We start from the raw sequence: 22,236 nt of genomic DNA on the forward strand, positions 1-22,236 counted from the left end.
GGCTTGGTGCTGTCCTTGTGATAGTGACTGAGTTCTCATGAGATGCAGTCAATTAAAAGTGTGGCACCTTCTACCTTCCCTTGCTACTGCTTTTGCCTTGTGATGTACCTGCTCCCAATTCACCATCTACTTTGAGTAAAAGCTCCTTGAGGCCTCTCCAGAAGTGGAGCAGATGCTGGCACCATGCTTGTACAACCTGCATTAAACCTTTTTTCTTTATAGATTATTCAGCTTCAGATATTTCTTTATAGCAATGTAAGAACAGCCTAATACAGGGGCTTCATACAACAATGTTCATTTATTATCTCATGGCTTTTGTGAGTCTGGAATCCTAGAGTGGCTTAGCTGGGTAGTTCTGATGCAGGGTGTTTCAGAAGGTCTTGATCAAGATGTCAGCCAGGGCTGCAGCTGTTGGTAGGCCTGACTGAGCCTGGAGGATCTGCTTCCAATGCGGCTCACTCACATGATGGGCAAGTTGGTGCTGACCGCAGATGAGAAGTCCCAATTCCTCCCGGCTTGGCCTTCTATAGAGGGTTGCTTGAATGTCCTTGTAGTATGGCAGTTGGCTTTCCCCAGAGTGTCTGATTCAAAAGAAAGAAGCCACACCTTTTTTTGACCTCAGAAGTCACACTTCGTTTTTGCAATATTCAGCTGGTTTCACAGACCAGCCCTATTCGCTGTGGGAAGGGAATACACAAGAGAATAAACATCAGGAAGCAAGAATCATTGAGGACTGCCTTGGACATTGGCCACCGCATCTGATCAGTCCTACCCTTGTGGATTTATTTCTCACATATTCTTCCAAGTTTGAAATATCTTGATCAAAGAGAGTTTCTGCATAATTTTACAGTTCAGTGTGTGTTTTTTTTCTCTTGTACTTTTTAATTTGAACTCATTCTTTATATAGGTATTTTGAAGAACAGCTTGATAACGTTCCATCCTGGATCTCTTAGTGTGCAATTACTGAGAAAACCTTTTATACCTAATTATCAAAGGGCACACGGATTAGGAAGAAAAACTCTCAGACCAGATATTGAGCATTCTAATATTATTGGTCCTTTGAAATTTCTAGCTAAGGGTTAAATGTTCAGTTCTTACAACTTCTGCTATGTAATTAATATGTATATAATGCATGGAAATTCATGTTGTCCTTCATGAGTTGCTGATATTTAATCTACTGTTCAAGCCTTCACCAGCTCTACTATTTTCTCAGGAAAAGGGCCATAAAAAAGGTTTTATCGAGTCCATTTTATCAGCTTTTTGATGGGTTTACTAAACCTAACGGAGAATTGCTGTGTCAGAGTGTATCACTTTAAAAAAAATGGGCATTTGGATGAGGTATTTTTGTTTTCCTGGTTACATTTTGCAGCACTGTCAGTTGCTGATTTTTTTCCCTTCTACCACAGATTGTTATAGTATTTAACGTTTATGTGTTCTCTCTTAGTAACAACTGGGGCCATGGCCAAAATTCTGATTGGGAGTGGGTGGTAGGGTTGGAAACTATATATATGATGGCTGAACAGCTGAGATAATTTATGTTTTTGAGGCAATAATCATGAATAATGCAAATCTAGCTATTAAAATAGAAGGAAGGGATGACATCTTACTGGGTGGGAATTTTAAGGTAAAGCTATAGTTTTAGAGTTATAATAATGGTACCTATGGCTAGGCGTCAACATTATTACTCACTGTGCACTCAATTTGAGGCCAAAAATGTAATATATTTAATTTAACCCTGAGGAACAGTTGGCAGGGAATTAATCTGGTCGTGTTTCCTCGGAGAAGTCTTCCTCTCCCTGGCTCCCCTACATTGGATCAGGTGCTCCTCTGAGTGCTCCCACAGCCCCCTGTATGTGTCCATCATTAGCAGTTATTATGACTCATTGACGTCTTAACATATTTCACAAGAATGTTAACTTGATGAGGCAGAGGCTACATTTACTTTAGTTACTGTTGAATTCCTAGTACTGTGCATGCTGTGGGCATGTTAGTTAGTAGGCTTTCAGCAGCAGCTTTCAGCATTTCAGTAGGGAAATCCAACTGAAACAGGCTAAACCACAAAAGATAACTAATTACTCAATACCTTCAAAGTCTCTTTGTACATGGTTTCAAGCAGGACTGGATCTAAATACCCAAAGGTGTATGTTGTCTCTGTCTCTTGAAGCTTTTTTCCTTAGTGCTAGTGTTAATTTCAGGGAACTTCTTCCTTTTGGGTATCAACATGGCCACCAGCAAGCCCCTTTTTGAACCACCAAAAAGGTTATATAATAACAATTCTCTGAAAATGAGTCTTTGCAGAAGCTCCAACCACATTCTGCCAGTGGCCCTTCCAGCGGCTACTGTGTTGCTGGTTTTCACTATGATTGTGGCCTGTTAGTTTTCCTTTTTTTTTTTTCCTCTTCCTCAAATGGTTTCAGTGCAAATCCTAGGCACTCAAGCACTTTGCTTCGATGAGACTATTTGGGGTCACACATTCTCCTGAGCCATTCACTGTCTTTGGAGGGCTAGAAATACAGTGATTGATATGAGTTATCTACAAGGGATCTGCCGAGGACGTGGAACCTGAAAGGTTTTGACTGATGACCAGGCTTAGGTAAGAGGAGAGCAGGGGAAGGCATTCTGGCTAGGTAAGCCAAAGGAACAAAGACAAAGAGCCATGGCATATGGAGAAGTTGAAGAGGCAAGTAATTGGTGGAAACAGTATTTGAACCGCAGCTCTCTGAATGAGAATCACACTTAACCTGCCATAGTACCACATTGCTCTCTTATAAATGCTATCTTGTAAAGGCTATTTTATGCTATTCTTTATACTTTCATATGCTTAAAGGAACTTCAAACACTGGATAGGGTTAGATATCTCTAAACCGTCTGGAGAAAGCAGAAGGAGTTGTTGTTTTTAGCACTCCACATATTGGTTGAGCAGATTTTACCCACCTGGGTGATAAAGTGAGGTATAACTATAAAGTGGCTAAAGCAACAAAAGAAAGATGCCAAGTGAAGCAGTGTGATTTCTGAAAATGGAAGATATATTAATCTACAAAGACAGTGATTTTCCTGAAATAAGTCTCAAAGCAGAAATTAACTGAGGGTCCTTACACAAAGGATATTGAAACAAAGTAGTATGCTATTGCTTAACCCGTAGACATTCAAAGATTTGAATGTTATTGGATCATTGGCTATTCATAGTGTCCACAAAGGAGGTAAGTGTCAGACAATTCACATTACACCTTCATTAATTGTGTTTCTTGAAACCTCTCACATCCATAGTTGCTGATACTCTATCTCTCCTCCCAAATACACACCCACATAACATTCATGTTCAAAAGCCAAACATCTGACCTCTCAGACATATGAAATCTTACATGATGCCCAATGAGTTTACAAAAAGCACTGTGTCTTGTGTCTTTGCACTGTCATCTTCTCTGTTGGAATGTTAAGTGCATGCAACATAACACTAAGTAGTTCAGAATATGATTTATTTTTCATTGCCACTAAGATTTACAAAAAGCCTTACTATGTGTCAGGCTGCAATGCCAAGCACTTTTCAAGTGTAGTCTAATTTAATTGACCAGTATTTGTATAGATTAATAATGGTGTGCATAGAGTAGAGGTGATTTATTTAGCTCCCTCCTTGGAATTCACATTAAGAGCAAGGTTATTACTTCCTTATCTCCCTCATGAATTAAAATAAGTGGCCAGGACACTGTTGTGTGTGTTCCCTTCCCCAGACCCATATCATTCATGATCTGTCTGTAACAGTGAACAAAGTGGCTGTGAGTTGCTGTCCCAGCCAGATGTTTCAGGCCATGCTCAGAGGCAGACAAATGTGTCCAGTGGAACAGTCACCATTTCTACAAGTGACCTTGTCTCTGGCAGATCAAAGTAGCCTCACTGAGCAGTTAGGAAATGCCTGAACTATTCTCCAGTTGGGGTAGAGGATAGGGGCTCTTTCTTAACATAATGATTTAAAAAGCCAACCAACAAATTCTGTTCACATTTTAGTTCCAAGATGTGAAAACAAATACTCAAAGTCTCTAAACCAAAATATTTAGGAAATAAATGGCAAACAAATTTCCTAATGTGACCAAAACCTGGCCAAACTTGGAACACCGAGTTTCCATTAAGTGAATAATTTCTTATACTGAAACACAAGCTCCCATTTCCCAACTGCCTATGAGACCTCAGGACCATAACCATCCCTAAATTGTGTCTTGTTTTTGTGAGTTCATTGCTGTAAGGTACTATGGCATGAGTTTTGTCTTAATGTTGTCATTGTAGCCTCAATTGAAATAATTTCCATCATTCTATTTGGTCAGATGTCTTTCTGGTTATGCTCTGTAAATGTTAGACCTTTGAGTATAGAGAGATGCTTGGTAATGTTCATCAAACAAAAGAAGTTAAATAAAGCCCAAAGAATTACCAATCTGGGATTCTTACCTAGAAACATAATGCTCCATTTCTATGACTGGCATGCTCCACAGGAAGGGAAAATCACAGAAAATCACTTCTGGCCAGCTGTTGCTTCTGCAGCATCTTGGCTGTCTCTGGCAGGAGGCAATGCTTTTCCTTCCCTCAGGCAGAAAATAATTTGGAATTTGGGGAAGCATTGAAGAAAAGGTCAAGTCTGACTGGAAAGGACATAGAAAATAACTGGTGATGCTACTTTTGCTCTTAGGTATTACTGGCTTTTTTATTCTAGAAAGCAACTATAAAAAATCTCCAAAGTTTGCATAGAAGCCTTGGTCCTTATTATTCAAAAGCTCACAGTTTAAGCTATGTCCTGGTAACCTCAAAGGTCTGTAACAGATAACAGCATTCAAATTTCTTGGGTAAGGTGAAAGAATAAGTCATAAGTCACTTAGCTAGTGAGTAAACCTAGATAACTGCCCAACATCAAGATCTCAATGGGGCTTTGATATCTTTGACTCTTTCCTATATTTAGTAACATTTGTGAATTTATTAAAAAAACAACAGCAACTTTGCTTTTTAAAGAAATTGACTACCAGATAAAGGTAAATGTGGGTCAAAGTTGAAAGTTGGGTTATCAGTGGGGAAGACCATATGAGAGAAAATATGTATTTCTTGATGTGATTAAAAAGGAAGAAGTCAACCTGTATTCATCAGCTTGAGCATTTGCAATGGTTTCATTGTGTATCTCCTTCTCAATGTCAGGACAAAAATGTCATTTACTGTGTGTGCTTTGGTAGGTGATGGTCTCATTATGCATTTCCTTCTCAGTGTCAGGACACAAATGCCATTTAATGTGTGTGCTTTGGTAGATAGTTTTATTGTAGTGTAAATATCAAGATAGTTAAATAATCACCATTTAGAGGGAACAAAAATAATTTAAAAATGACTTACCCTTCAATTATTCTCATCTTCTAAATACTGACCAAACTGGACACTTGCATCTTTACCCAGCCCTGACACGTGGTATTTTCTGGGAGCAAATTAAGGGAGAGGGAAAAAAAAAAACCCAGGGGAGAAAAAGGGAAGAGTCAATACAGCACAGGTTGTAAGCCAACTATGCCTTTAGGGATGAAGAAAGAAGGACAGAGGTGACAGCACTAAAAATGATGATGTAAGTGACAGGTGAAGCCAGCCTGACTTCCTGGGTCGAGTGGGGACTTGGAGAACTTTTCTGTCTAGCTAAAGGTTTGTAAACGCACCAATCAACACTCTGTAAAAACGGACCAATCAGCACTCTGTGTCTAGCTAAATGTTTGTAAATGCACCAATCAGCACTCTGTAAAAACGAACCAATCAGCACACTGTAAAATGGACCAATCAGCGCTCTGTAAAATGGACCAATCAGCAGGAAGTGGGCGGGTCCAAATAAGGGAATAAAAGCTGGACACCCACCCAGCAGCGGGAACCCGCTTGGGTCCCCTTCCATGCTGTGAAAGCTTTGTGCTTTAGCTCTTTGCCAATAAATCTTGCTGCTGCTCACTCTTTGGGTCCATGCAGCCTTTATGAGCTGTAACGTTCACTGGGAAGGTCTGCAGCTTCACTCCTGAAGTGAGCGAGACCACGAACCCACTGGAAGGAAAGAACAACTCTGGATGCACTGCAAGAGCTGTAACACTCACTGTGAAGGTCTGCGACTTCACTCCTGAAGTCAGCAAGACCATGAACCCACCAGAAGGAATAAACTCCAGACACATCTGAACATGTGAAGGAACAAACTCCAGACACACCATCTTTAAGAACCGAAACACTCACCATGAGGGTCCGTGGCTTCATTCTTGAAGTTAGCAAGACCAAGAACCCACCAATTCTGGACACATAAGGAGCTCTGAAATTTCTCTCCTCCATAAAAACAATGAAAAAACTGGCAAAAATGATCAGAACCAACTTTCTCAGACTTTGGAAATTAACCAAGGGCTTGCAGTAACCTAGGGAACATTTGTTCTAAAAAACAAGTGAATCTTCATAAGAAGAGTGAACATTGTTGCATTTTAATTTGCTCTATTTCTATCTCCCTTTCTCCAGTTCCACAGTTGCATTGAAAACTAATAGACCACAGGCCGGGCACAGTGGCTCACGCGTGTAATCCCAGCACTTTGGGAGGCCGAGGTGAGTGGATCACAAGGTAAGGAGTTCAAGAGCCAACATGGTGAAACCCCATCTCTACTGAAAATACAAAAGTTAGCTGGGTATGGTGGCATGTGCCTGTAATCCCAGCTACTCAGGAGGCTGAGGCAGGAAAATTGTTTGCACTGGGATCCAGGAGGTGGAGGTTGCAGTGAGCTGAGATCATGCCATTGCACTCCAGTCTGGTCTACAGATGGAGACTCCGTCTCCAAAAAAAAACAGAAAAGAAAACTAACAGACCACAGTCATAGTGAAAACCAGCAACACAGTAGCCACTGGAAGGGCTACTGGCAGAATAGTCTTTCCTGGAAAGACCTCACTTGCAAAGCTGTCTTTATTTGACCTGACTTCCATCTCACCAAGTGAAGAAATCTGTTTTCTTGGGGACACTGTCAAAAACATTTAGAGCCAAATGTTTAACTTTGTGGCTGCCTGATGCAATAGACCACAGTTGGGTCAAATAATAGGCTAAACCAAAAAACTTAAAAGAAAAAGCTGGAGAATGATAGTCTATAAAAGCTTTGGAAGACTCCAACATGCTGTTAGGAATTTAGAAGGCCATGCACATGTGTAAAGCTGCACACAGGCCTAGGACTGTGTGAATACTCTGGAAAGACCTGTGACTGTCCTAAGCTCTCACCTTTGGGTGACCTTGAGGTTCTGTGCTAGCAAGAAGTAAAGACTAAGGTGAAATTGTCTACTGACTGGCTGCGTGTTAAAGGTATGCCCCAACATTCATGCAGAGCCACTCAACAAAGACTGGAACAGCTATCAGTTTCATGTGTTAAAGAACACATCTGTTCAATTATTAGCAACCACTAAGCTAATGAGCAACATTTCACTGACCAAGCAAAATGAAGAGTACTGCTTTTACAGAATTAGTTCAGAAAAGTTACTAAATAAGAACATGACAACAGTCAGCAACAATAAACCCTGAGGAGGAGAAATTCTGGCTTTCAGAGTTTCCACATTATTTTATGTAAAATGTCCAGTTTCCAACAAAAATTATGAGACACACAAATAAATAAGTATGGCCAATACTAAGAAAAAATGAATTGATAGAAACTGTCCCTGAGGAAGCCCAAATGTTGGAATAAGTAGTCAAAGACTTTAAATTGACTATTTTAAATATGTCTTAAAAATCTAAAAGGAACATGTTTATAAAACTTAAGTGTGAGAACAATTTTGTACCAGATAGAGACTACCAAGAAAGGTATGAAAAATATTTTTTAAAAGCTAAATAGAAATTCTGGAATTGAAAGTATAACTGAAATAAAAAATTCACTAGAAGGGCTAAACAGCAAATTTGGACTGGTAAAAGAAAGAATCATTGAACTTGAAGATAGGTAAATGGAGATTATCCAGTCTGAGACACAGAAGAAACAAGGAAGGAAGAAAAATGAACTGAGCTTTAGAGACTTGTGGGGCACACAAATGTATCAACCTGCACATAATGGGAATCCTAGAGGGAGAGAAGAGAACAAAAGGGGTAGATTGAATATTTAAAGAAATAATGGCTGACATTTTCAAAAGCTGATGAAAAAAATTTCTCTGTATATTTAAGAAGCACGATGAACTCCATGTAGAATACACTCAAAGAGATTCATACCTAGACAAATTATAATCAAATTGAACAAAGAGATAATCTTGAAAGTAGGAAAAGTGAAGTGACTCATCACTTACAAGGGATCAACAAGTATATTAACTGATTTCTCATCAGAAGCCATGAAGGTCAGAGACAGTAGGATGATATAGCCAATGTATTCAAAGAAAAATACTGCAACCCAATAAATCCATCAAAACTGTTTGCAAAAATAAGATAGAAATAAAGACATTTCAAGTTAAGCAAAAACTGAGAGAATACCACATACAAAAATTAACACAAAATGGATTAAAGACCCAAGTGTAAGAGCTAAAACTATCAAATGCTTAGAAGGAAGTACAACAAAGAAAAAAATAGATCAAAAGACACCATCAAGAAAGTAAAAAGATAAGCCCCCAAATGGAAGAAATAACTTGCAATAATAGATACACACACACACACACACACACACACACACACGTGTCAGATGTATACCCTTGTCAGATATTAATGAGTTAAGTTTTTATGTGGTGTGATGGGGAGTTGAACTTTATTCATTAGCATGTGGATATTCAATTGTCCCAGCACCATTTGATGGAAAGATGTGGATTTGAGGGAAATGATCATTAGTTTAGCAGGTCACTGACATGCAAACATAGTCTTCATGCTTGATATAGTTTGGATATACGTCTCCATCCAAATCTCCTGTTGAATTGTAATCAACAATGTTGGAGGTGGAGCCTGGTGGGAGGTATTGGAATCAAGGGAGTAGATCCCTCAAGAATGGCTTGGGCCATCTCCTTGGTGATAAGTGAGCTCTTGCTCTGAGTTCACACAAGATCTGATCCATTAAAAGTGTACCGCACCTCTTGCCACCACTATCTTTTTCTCATGCTCCTATTTTTGCCATGTAAAGTGCCTGCCCCCACTTTGCGTTCCACCATAATTGTAAGCTTCCTGAGGTCTCTTTAGAAGCCAAGCAGATGCCAGCACCATGCTTCATATAAAGCTTGCAGAACTGAGAGCCAATTAAACCTCTTTACTTATAAATCACCCTTTCTCAGCTGTTTCTTTGTAGCAACGAAAGAATGGCCTAATGCAATGCACAATGCCCCAACTGGGGAATTTCCCAACCTGCATTTTACAAATTGGATTAATGTTAAACATATAGCCACGGATGCTAGTTTGTTTGACAGGATGAACAGAGAAATAACACGTATGACTATGGTATTTCTGAAAACTTTGCTTTACTCAAGTATCACTGAAGCATTTTTTCTGTAGCCACTTACCAACTCTTCCCTCAACTTTTTCTATTAATTTATCTACAATAAATAGCTAATTAAAAAATTTTAAACTCTATTAAGCACATCATAAGTGTTATCTGTAAAATCATGAGTTTATTGTGTTTGTAATAGTTCCTCCAACAAATTAATACATACTCATTAAAGGTAAAGATTATCCACTTAATTCCTTCCAATTTCTTAGGAGCATTAAGGCCTATGAATAACGTATTTGGGGAGACATTAGTGTTTGGAAAGAGCCTTCCTTCTGTGGAAAGTTATTTGACCAGAATTTTAGTTTCCAATATAATGGGTTTGTGATCTTTGGTGAGCAAGACATATCTATGGCCTTATATGTAAACAGTGAGCAAGATATGTTACCTGTGTTACCTATCATTACTGAGGGCCTTCTGAAAGCCAGGATCTTCCTATCAGACATTACCTAATCGGGTTGTTCATTACCTCCTGTTGTGGGTGGAATGGTGTCTCCTTCAAAACATGTTTTAAAATCCTGACCCTTGGTATCTGTAAATGTGACCTTATTTGGAAGTAGTCTTCTCCGATGTAGTCAATTTAAGATGATACTTGATTAGGGTGTGCCCTAAATCCAACCACTAGTGTCTTTATAAGATGAGGAAGATTTGGACACACAGACGCCCTGGGAGAGTGCCACATGACAATGGAGGAATAGATTGAGTGAGGTGTCTATAAACCAATGAATACTCAGGATTGCTGGCAACCACCTGAAGCTAGGAGAGGCAATGAAGGATCCTTCCCCAGAGCCTTTAGAGGGAGTGTGGCTCTGTGGACACATTGATTTCAGACTTCTAGCCACCAGAAGATAAATCTCTGTTGTTTTAAGCCACCCAGTTAGTAGTAATTTGTTGCAGAGCCCTAGGGAAATAATACACCTACCTTTTCTTGTCTATGTCAGCTAGATGAGGGCAGGGATCGCTCATTTATTTTGTTCACTGCTGATCCTCAGATCCTGGAACAGTTTCTCACACACTGTAAATGCTTAATTCATATTTTTTGAGTGAATGCATTAATAAGGTCTCTTAACAGTTCTGAGAGTTATACACGTTGTATTATGAAGAAAACAAGCCTGGGAGAGTTTGTAAAACATATTCAAGGTTATACAGAATTCTAGATACATCTAATTTCAAAATCTCTGCTCCTTTCACTGTACTCTGCCCACTGCAAAATAAAGAACTGGAACAAAATGGTTTCTTGTCCCTTGCAGCTGAGAGCAATGGTTCTTTGATAACACACATGCTTTTTCGAGATGGCATATTGAGCCATCACTTCCAAAAATATTTGTTGAGGTTGTAGCAAGACTGGGACCCCCCAATAGAGCAAAGTAATGCTAACGTTTTAATTTTTTATTCAATAAATATTGAGTGAGCACTTACTATGTACCAGGTCCCTTAAGTACTTTACTTGATGAATCACTTTATATGCTTTTCACAATAGTCTTACCAAGCTGAAATTATTATTTCCATTTTACATATGAAGAAACTGATGCAAAGAGAAGTCACACAGCCTGCTGAATGTCACAGCTAGGAAGGAGCCAAACCCACATTCAGTCCAGACCTTGAAACTACAAATCTCAATTACCTGAAATGCTTGTACCCTCCCTTACATGTTCCACCCTGTCTTCAGGTTCTGGTTCAGCATCTTACAGCCCGGGGAGCCCTCCTTTCATACTGTACACCTTGTGGTATATTCCTCAAGCATTCCACCCTCCTGCACTTCTTTCCACCTTGGTAGATATCTGGCCCACCTCCTGAACTACATTCCTAGCCTCCGAAGCTTACAAACAACAGATATAACATGCCTTAAGTTGGTAATATAAATGGTGCCAAAGAAGCTGCTTCATGGATGCCTGAGACAAATTTTCCAGGATGATCGCATTCTGAACTAGTTGAAACCACAATCATATTGCCATCAATCTTCTTGAAGTATTTAATCACTTGCACGGAATCTCTTGGGGATGCTTGCTAAAAATATACTTTCCTGGGCTTCACTTGAAACTTACAGAATCAAAACACCTGAAGGTGGGATCTTCCCAACATCAGCATATATGGTGTTTCCAGGATCTGCAGTGTATACTCCCTGTTTAATGATTTCACTGGAAAAATTTCCCATTGCGTTTCAGGTTTTACCTATATGTCTCAGCCTCTAAGAATATTTCTTTTCACCCGAGGCTACAGACCCTCACCTGTAGTAAGTAAGTGCTTCTCTGTGTTCCCGTTGAGCACTTTGGTATTTAGCCCCATTATAGTAATTTGCATACTCTTATATACTTGCATCTTTACTTATAAGTCTCCCTTTCACTTACCTGTGAGCTCCTTAGGGTCAGAGTCTTTCCCAGTCATATCCCATGTGCTTATCATAGTCCTTGACAGGTAGCAGGTGGTCAATAGTAAAATACAGGAATACACAAACAAAAAAAGATAGTGGAATTAATGAGCAATTAGGAGCACTGAATTTCTACTCAAATTTCTGCCAAGAGCACACAGGGACAGAATACATCCATTTTATTTAGTGTTAGCGTGGAGATCACATCTTTCCCCCACAACTGGCCATTTTCTCAGTTGCAAGAGGTAGAATTAATTGTCATAGAGAAGCAGAAGGAAACCATGAGTGCTGATGGGATTGTTTGTCCTACTCATCTAGTTTGAGAAGGATGCAAATGCAGAAAATTTAGATGTTTATGGGACAACAGCCTCCGCCTTCTAAACAGTTCCTGGATACGTTTGGCATGACTTCTGTTGGAATGCATGAAGAAAGTAGGAATGACAACCACATAATTTTGCAAATCACAGTATTTCAAACAAAACACACCCTTTTGGCAATCTAGGATAACTACAAATTAAGGGAGCCAGTATCTCTCTTCTTTTAAAGTCTAGGATGGGGCTGGGTGCGGTGGTTCACACCTGTAACCCCAGCACTTTGGGAGGCCTAGGTGGGCAGATGACCGGAGGTCGGGAGTTCAAGACAAGCCTGGCCAAAATGGTGAAACCGCATCTTTACTAAAAATCCACAAATTAGCCGGTCACGGTGGCTGTCACCTGTAATCCCAGCTACTCGGCAGGCTGAGGCAGAGAATTGCTTGAACACGGGAGGCAGAGGTTGCAGTGAGCTGAGATCATGACACTCCACTCCAGCTTGGATGACAGAGTAAGACTCTGTCTCAAAAAAAATAAACAAACAAACAAATAAATAAAATCTAGGATGTTTTTATTTCCTGATAGCATCTAGTAGGTGCTGCATTTATTATGTAGGCACTTAATAAATGCTTATGAATTGGACTTATCTTGCTAGTGGCCTCCCTACCAATGCATGTGGGAAAGGAAAAAATGCCTTTGAAATTTCTTTCCTTTGTGGTCCACTTATTTATACAAACCTGCCATATGTTTATGCAAGCAATGTACTGGTGGCTGGTAGAAAGAATTTTAGAATAGGATAGAAAATATTTTTAGGCTTTGGTCTTGGGTTTGTCCCTAACTAGCCCAGTGGCCTCAGATAAGACACTTAATTTCTCTACTTTTTTAATGTCCTTACTTGCCAGAGAAGGATCATTTTAGCCCCCTTGTTAGCTTATATTTTTGATAGAAGGCGTTAAGGCAATGTGCTAGTGAGAATTTAACTTGTATGAAATACATAGTCACTTAGTAATTATCAAGAATAAAAAAATAAGTAAATGCAACAATAAGTATGAAGGAGCTTTAGTGATACAGAGCTACCCAGGAATATGAAGACTTCCAAAAGCCCAGAAACTTTCAAAGAAAATTATTTCAGAAGGATTTAGGCTTCTTCACACCTAGGCAAGAATCAGTTAATCTGATCATTTGAGGACAGGTCTATGTCAAAGTATTTCCTGTTGGAAAAGGACCATAGGCTGGATACATTTTGATAGGAGGAAAAACAGTAAGGACTTGCTATAGGAAGGAATGATTGGATATGGGTCCATGCATTGCCCCAGCTTGGGATCTGAGGCAACTTAACAATACGTGGTGATAGGGAGGGAGAGTAGAGGAAACTAAGCTGAAAATTCAGCCCTTTCTGCTACCGATGAGGTTTTCCTAATTCTGTTTTTCCTAAGAGAGAGAGAGAGAGAGAGAGAGTGTGTGTGTGTGTGTGTGTGTGTGTGTGTGTAGTTCTTTGCATTTGGCATCGGGGGTAGAATCAATGGTGTGCTAGTTCATGTTTAACAATCAATTCTTCAGAAAAAAAAAGGCAACCTTGATTTTCATGATATAAATACACTGCCATGGCTGATTTGAAGCTGTCAGTGCTTTAACAACAGGCTCATAAAATTTCTTAAAGTTTGACAGTCAGTTCTTTGAGCCAGTGTGAGCCAACTCCAGCAAAACACTGAATAGGTTAACTATGAAGTAATAAAAACTGATTATGGGAGACTTCAAAGAGTAAAGAGAACTGTCTAACAGATCCCCATATTCCCATTACCTAGCTTCAGTAATTGTCAAACCAAGTAAAATTCCTTTCTCTGTACCTTACCTGCTCCTTCCATCCCCAGCTGGATTATTTTGAAGCCTGTATCTCAATATGTGTCTCTAAAAGATAAGGACTCTTTAAAAATGTAATACAATTACTGTATCAAATATATTAACAACAATTCCTGAAAACCATAAGTATCTAGTCAGTGTTCAAATTTCTCTGAATCCATATATATGTATTATATTTATTTATTTATTTATTCCTTTGAGGAATGCACACTTGGTTTATTCAAATCAGGAGCCAAGCAAAGTCAATACACTGCCTTTAATTGATATATCTCTTAATTCTCTTTAAATCTGTAAGCTTCTTCTTCCCTTCCCCACCACTTTTATTTTCTTTGCAATTTGTTTGTTGGGAAAACAAGGTCACTTATCTTGTGGTTTTCACTGAAATTTGCTGATGGTACTTCCATGGTGTTAATGTGTTCTCCTGTCCCCTGTTTTTTTCTATATAGGGGTAATTAGATCTAAAGGCTCGATCCAATTTAGGTTCTCTCTCTCTCTCTCTGTTTCTTGTGTGTGTGTGTGTGTGTGTGTGTGTGGGGGGGGGGGGGGGTGTGTCTGCATGAACAAGGGTCCTTCATAGGGAAGCGTAAAACTTTCTTATTTCCTCATATTAGGAGACACATTGTGCCTGGTTGTTCATCTTTTAGTGATATCAAGATCGATCAGTGGGTTCAGTCTGAAACAGACTACACTCACATTGCCAAAAAAAAACTACCCAAAATCTGAGATAAATATTTTCTTTTTCAGTCTCGAAGATGCCTTTTAACCACAAACACATAAATCAATATATCCGTATAAACAGTTACTAAATCAACCCATCTATTTTATTCATGATCACTTCACATTTGAAAGCTCTTGCTGTATTTATTTATTTTTTTGAACTGAATTTGGGGCTTTGACTAGGAAGCCATAAATCTAGTTTTTGATGAAATACGACTTCACCACAATGCCAGATTGGAAAGAGTTCCCTGCCAATTTTTCTTCTTCACATTGCTTTGGTAAGTGGTGAGTATTCACATTCCCTCTGTTCAGGGCTAATGCACCGCTGATTTAGCTTCAACCTCCTCAAAAGTTTTTTCTTTAACTGTTAATTTTTGATGGACAATGTATTACCAGGGACAGTCACATCTGCCAGGTTGTGCAGGCAGGATTTGAAGCGTGCCTAAGGTGTGGGCAGATGAACAAGTTCTATCACCTGGAGTGTGGCGGTTTCCCTAACTCTCCCTAGCCACTAGTTAGGCCTTAATATGCTTAGAAGGTTGCTCGTCTAATATGAACTGTGTGAGACTTTGGCTGGAGGGTAGTTCTGTGTCCCAGTGATAAAAGAACACGTAAAACAACCCAGTGCCTGATCATTCTCCCTGGCTGTCAGTGAATCATGTCTAATGGCATCTCTATACAGTTTGCGCCAATTTGCTTGCAATGGCATCCTTTTCCGTGGGCTCGCTGCTCAGCAGGCCCTGAAGCAATCTATGAATAACTTCCCAACAGATGCTGTTTATGAATTGAAGCAAATGGCTTCCCTGTTTCTCTTTTTTCTCACTTCAATAATTTTCAGTTACATTACGATGAATATTTATAGTCCTGTAGCAGTGCATAAAAATGGAGAACAAGCAGACCTGGGCATTGTTTCATACGTGAGTGCTGTTCTAATGGGTTTTGGCTGACTGGTTTTAATAATGTTCAGTTGATGGACTGAAAGAGGATGCAAATCGTAGATCAGTCATTTTCATGCACTGTTTTAGCAGGATGGGCATTGATGGAGCGCTGGTTGCATCCCTCACGTGCCTGTGATGCCTTAACTCTCTAAGTCAACTCGTTCCTATGTGTCTGCCTCCTCTGTCTACTTCTTTTGAGTAATATCAACTAGTTGACTTCCGCAGAGACTCTGACACCAATGTAAGAGCTCATTAGGTTTATTTTACCACTCTCTACAGGTATTACCATTTGTGATTCAAACGACTAACTGTGTTAGAAGCTGCGGCCCAACCAACATAACATTCTGTGAAATGAAAATGTAAAATCATAAGGAATACGTTGGTTTTGATTTGCCAGCTTATTTTATAGAAAGATATTGAGCCACATTTTACTCTAAATGGCTTTTTCAAATGTTCCATATTTCCATGTTCTCTTAAATATTACAAAAATGAGAGGACTTACATCTAAACATCGCTCCTAAATTTGATTCCAAGAGAGCTACTCTAACTTCAGTGGCTTATGTTTCAAATAGCTGATATACCTTACTTGCATTTTCTATTTTACAATAATGAGTTAGTTAACTAGCCTATATTTTCCAAACCATTGACTGTGTCATATGGGCCCACATACAAATAATTGTCTGTTTGGCTATTTGCTTATAAATAAGAGTGTTGAAAATTGTATGTAAATATGTATATGCATGCACAGTAAATATATATTGAAGCCTCCCAAAATATTCAAATTGCCTCATTTTCCACTGTTGCATTATGAAATACTCACCAACTACTCAAATGGAACCATATTTATTATGCATGCAAACCCACAATATCTTTACCACCTATCATTTGTATGCTGTACACAGAAGGTTGTGCTGTAACACAACAGTAAAAAATAAAAACGGCAATTTGGAGAGAAGGATCTTTCTTGCTCTAACTGCAGCAGATGCAAAGAGTGGTTTCCTTTGAAAAGGGGAAGTATAACACAATCCTGAAATATTTGAAGCATTAACAAAAAGTTCAAGAATTTAATATTTGATATGCAAATATTATTGTTAAAGAAACTAATATGCAGCATAATGTCTCAGAATGCTTCAAAATCATGCCCCCAAAATACTAAACTAAGAAACTCTGAGAATATTTTCAGGCCTGGAGCAAAAGGTCTAAAAATAGACCAGGATTTGTACTTTTGCAGAACAATTCACCATAGCACTTTTCTATTTGTCTTAAATAATAGTAAAATATTGTAAATGTTACAAATGTAATAAACAGTATGGGAAGTTAATTGTTCCCCTCACTAGGAAAACTACCGTTAATAATGCTTTGTATATAACTTTAGATAGTAGTACGCATATGGAACATTTACACAGGAATATTTTTCTTCATGTGCCATATTTTCTCTTCCATAATGGAAAGTGTCTGGATCTTGTGTTCTTTTTGCACTTTTTATTTTTTTATTTTTTGAGACAGAGTTTTGCTCTTGTCACACAGGCTAGAGTGCAACGGCACAATCTTGGCTCACTGCAACTCTGCCTCCCAGGTTCAAGCGATTCTCCCGCCAGAGCCTCCCGAGTAGCTGGGATTACAGGTGCCCCCCACTACACAGGGTTACTTTTTGTATTTTTGGTAGAGATGTGGTTTCACCATGTTGGCCAGACTGGCCTCGAAGTCCTGACCTTAAGACCTCAAGTGAGCTACTCGCCTTGGTCTCCCAAAGTTCTGGGATTACGGGCGTGAGCCACCGCGACCAGCCGTCTTTTTGCACCTTGTTCTTGATCAACACTTCTCCTGATTTCTAAGTAGGCAAGCTTTTTTATTGTTTATTGTTTTGTTTTCTTTTATATTATTCCTTCACCCTAGAGTTACTTTGAGTTTCATTTTAAGTATGATTTTTAAAAAGCCATGGGGAAAATTGTCACTTGCTGATGGGTTTTTCTGTAGTGGCCACAGTATCAGGGAGTGAGTCCACTTCTCAATACAAGGGTGCTGCAAAAACATTATTTGGGTATGCAGAATTGTGTGTGAGATCTAGGCATCAGGAAGTAATTCTGTTATAATAAATAGGTGGATAAATAAGAGGATGAGGAGGGTACTAGATACAAACATAAGCCTAAGTTGGGGGCTAAGATAGTGCCCAGCAGAAAACTATCAGGAATACTACATCAGAACCATGCTTCAAGACAGGGGGTTTAGGTCACAGAGAAGATGTAGTTTGGCCTGTTGTTTGTTTACCTTGAAGCTAAAACTGCCTGAAAAATTAAGGAAGATAAATTGAGACTAGTTCAAAAATCAAGACAATTATCTCATATAAATTTCTTAAAAGCCCCTTTGTAAACAATTTCATTTCACAAATCAGGAAACAGGCCTAGAGTGTTCCAAGGTGACACTGTTCTGCTAGGCTTGAACCTAGGTCTATGTGACACAAATGGCCATACTCTTGACCGGCATGCTTCATCAGCCTGTCACATGAACCCCTTCGATGCTAAAGGTGGGAAGAGGCTACTGATAAAGCAAGCCACAGGTAGCATGCACCAGATTAATGAGATGTTCCTGATTCACCTAATCACATCAACTAATCTTCCAGCACTAAAACCAACCACTAACTTACCATAATAATTTTCACATGGTTTGATTCATGAGAACTTGAGAGGGGCCTAGGATTTATAATAAGCCCTGGCAGGAGATTCTAAACCATATGTGGAGAAATGGCGTGTTAGTCCATGTTACTTTTTTATTTGGTATAAATATAAATTCAAATGTTTTCAGAAAACATAAACTAAAAATTCTTTATTGGAAGAATCAGTTAGACTTTGTAAAACATTCATGCAAATTGGCAACTATAGATCCTCAATTATTTTAGATTACATGTAAACCTTAAATTATTTTACTCCCACAACCCAATAACTGAGGTTAGATGTAGTTAAAAATGATTGTTGCCCCCATCATCATAACAGCATGCATTGTTAAAAAGTATATTTTAAAGAGCACAGAAAGTAACTACTGACAATTTCTCATGGAAATTACTTTTTTTTGTCCCTGGACAAAGAGTTCAGGGCTAATCAAAAACCAATCAATATAAACTCTAATGTAAACCATAATTAAGGATGACAAATAGGTTCTTGTATGATGTTAAACAATGCATTTATAAAGATAACAATCCAAAGTAAAAATTTAAAAACCAAACCACCAAAGTATAGAGGATGCATGCTGGTGACTTTTTCTTTGTCACTCACTCCAAATCTTCATGTAACCATAAAGTTACCTGCAACTGAGTATAAATGCCTTAAGAGGTGCCAATACTTAGAGTGTGAGTCCTGTGATATTTTAAAAGGTATTTTAGGTTTTCATGTACCGATGATTCATTTTAGCCAACTCTTGATACTCAGTTGCTGTGTTTGATAAGGTCATTTGGTTCTGAGATTCTCCTATGGGATGGGCAGGGAGACCCCTGATGTGCATGGTTCTTAGAACTTGGAAGACTGGTAGATGTCTCTAATGCATTATCAAAAGGGCTGAAGTCAGCACCTGTAAGAATTCAAGCACAGCAAGAATGCAGATGCTGTCCATTTCAAAGCAAGCATTTATAGGAAAAAACCCAGGCAATAGAGTCTTGGAATAATTTTGGTAAACACATTTAACAGGAAGGCCTCATCTGAGAAGCAAACAGGACTGTCATGCTGTACACCCTTAGGGGGCACCAATTCCATTGTGCACCAACAAACATCGCACTGGAAAGTAATTATTCTCATAGTATACTATATGGAAAATGAATGTAAATTGCCAGTCTATTCCCATTTTATAGAGCTGTCATGAAGGTCAATTTGTTTGCAAAGAGGCTGAGCATTTGGGAGAAATGCATACATTTATTACACATTTGTATTAGGTAGTTTATATTTAAATAGGAACCATGTACTAGAAGTAAAACAACCCCTCTAAACTTTCGGTATTTCTGATGATTATTTAATATTTTATACTTTTAATGTGCTGTCAGATTAATAAAGTATGGATAAAAGGCACTGTACAAAGTTATAGGTGATATTATTAAATAACACTAATTTAAGCTGATGACTAGAGATTGCACTACTTAAATTTCTATTTCGAGTCACCAGCTGTTTATTTTGTATTTTCCTGTTTGAAGGTGATTTTCAAAGGGATCTTCATGCTGAATGGAGGCACACACACAGAAACAATTGTCTTTAAAATGCAGTCCATATCATATCTGCATGTCTGACTTGGACTTTGTCCATATAAATGGCTTTTGGGCTATGGGCTCTTTGTTTTCAGTAGATGTATAGGGAGACTGAAGACATTTGTGAGTCAGGCATCCTAAACACAAGGCATGACTGTGCCAAAATGATAACCACCTGGCAAAATTCACGTTGTTGGGAATGAGGCTAAAAGTACCTGTTTCTCTCCACTGCCTAGAGAGTTAAGTTGGAGGATCATTTGATGTGTCTAGTTCTTTGCAGTCTATCCTAAGGTTAAGATTACCTTGTTCTTTGCATCACTTAGATTGGCAAAAAGTTCTGGTTAAAACTTGTGATTTAAATTGTGGACTGCCTTGGGTATACTGGTATGCTTTTCATGGACTTAGTAGGTAGGTCTGGAAAAACTTGACAAAATGTATCACCATCTAGGATTCTTTGGTTTTCGTTTTCTCTTTTACTGTATATGCAGAAATAATTTGATGTAGTGAACTTGCTAACTAAATTCTATTTTTTCCAGCTATAATCAAGCAGATACTAAGAACCATTTACTAAGGATCTGTGATGAGCAGTGTTCTGCCCTAGCAGTTTAAACATATTTTCTTATTTATATTATGCAAGAACTTTATAAGACTAATGTTTTTCCCCTTTTAGAGATAAATAAACTGAGGCTCAGAATGATTAATTTATTCAAGGCCAAAAATCTAATATTTAATCCAGGTATGTTGGGCCTTTTTTTATTTTTTATTTTTTTTATTATCATTATACTTTAAGTTTTAGGGTACATGTGCACAATGTGCAGGTTAGTTACATATGTATACATGTGCCATGCTGGTGCGCTGCACCCACTAACTTGTCATCTAGCATTAGGTATATCTCCCAATGCTATCCCTCCCCCCTCCCCCCACCCCACAACAGTCCCCAGAGTGTGATGTTCCCCTTCCTGTGTCCATGTGTTCTCATTGTTCAATTCCCACCTATGAGTGAGAATATGCGGTGTTTGGTTTTTTGTTCTTGTGATAGTTTACTGAGAATGATGATTTCCAATTTCATCCATGTCCCTAAAAAGGACATGAACTCATCATTTTTTATGGCTGCATAGTATTCTATGGTGTATATGTGCCACATTTTCTTAATCCAGTCTATCATTGTTGGACATTTGGGTTGGTTCCAAGTCTTTGCTATTATGAATAATGCTGCAATAAACATACGTTTGCATGTGTCTTTATAGCAGCATGATTTATAGTCCTTTGGGTGTATACCCAGTAATGGGATGGCTGGGTCAAATGGTATTTCTAGTTCGAGATCCCTGAGGAAACGCCACACTGACTTCCACAATGGTTGAACTAGTTTACAGTCCCACCAACAGTGTAAAAGTGTTCCTATTTCTCCACATCCTCTCCAGCACCTGTTGTTTCCTGACTTTTTAATGATTGCCATTCTCACTGGTGTGAAATGGTATCTCATTATGGTTTTGATTTGCATTTCTCTGATGGCCAGTGATGATGAGCATTTTTTCACGTGTTTTTTGGCTGCATAAATGTCTTCTTTTGAGAAGTGTCTGTTCATGTCCTTTGCCCACTTTTTGATGGGGTTGTTTGTTTTTTTCTTGTAAATTTGTTTGAGTTCACTGTAGATTCTGAATATTAGCCCTTTGTCAGATGAGTAGGTTGCGAAAATTTTCTTCCATTTTATAGGTTGCCTGTTCACTCTGATGGTAGTTTCTTTTGCTGTGCAGAAGCTCTTTAGTTTAATTAGATCCCAATGGTCAATTTTGGCTTTTGTTGCCATTGCTTTTGGTGTTTTAGACATGAAGTCCTTGCCCATGCCTATGTCCTGAATGGTAATGCCTAAGTTTTCTTCTAGGGTTTTTATGGTTTTAGGTCTAACGTTTAAGTCTTTAATCCATCTTGAATTAATTTTTGTATAAGGTGTAAGGAAGGGATCCAGTTTCAGCTTTGTACATATGGCTAGCCAGTTTTCCCAGCACCATTTATTAAATAGGGAATCCTTTCCCCATTGCTTGTTTTTCTCAGGTTAGTCAAAGATCAGATAGTTGTAGATATGCGGCATTATTTCTGAGGGCTCTGTTCTGTTCCATTGATCTATATGTCTGTTTTGGTACCAGTACCATGCTGTTTTGGTTACTGTAGCCTTGTAGTATAGTTTGAAGTCAGGTAGTGTGATGCCTCCGGCTTTGTTCTTTTGGCTCAGGATTGACTTGGCGATGTGGGCTCTTTTTTGGTTCCACATGAACTTTAAAGTAGTTTTTTCCAATTCTGTGAAGAAAGTCATTGGTAGCTTGATGGGGATGGCATTGAATCTGTAAATTACCTTGGGCAGTATGGCTAT

At 38.7% G+C, this 22,236-nt stretch overlaps 1 long non-coding RNA gene across 1 annotated transcript in view; it reads left to right on the top strand.

Annotated features, from left to right (window-relative positions):
• Nucleotides 1–22,236, top strand: part of SUCLG2-DT (SUCLG2 divergent transcript) — a 293,017-nt gene that overhangs the window by 227,821 nt on the left and 42,960 nt on the right. Inside the window, exon 6 of the long non-coding RNA NR_109992.1 lies at nucleotides 6,493–6,592. This is a non-coding gene — a long non-coding RNA (SUCLG2 divergent transcript). The remainder of the gene's footprint in view (nucleotides 1–6,492; nucleotides 6,593–22,236) is intronic.

The sequence above is a fragment of the Homo sapiens genome, chromosome 3, assembly GCF_000001405.40.
Source record: "Homo sapiens chromosome 3, GRCh38.p14 Primary Assembly".
In the NCBI taxonomy this organism is placed as follows: Eukaryota; Metazoa; Chordata; class Mammalia; order Primates; family Hominidae; genus Homo; species Homo sapiens.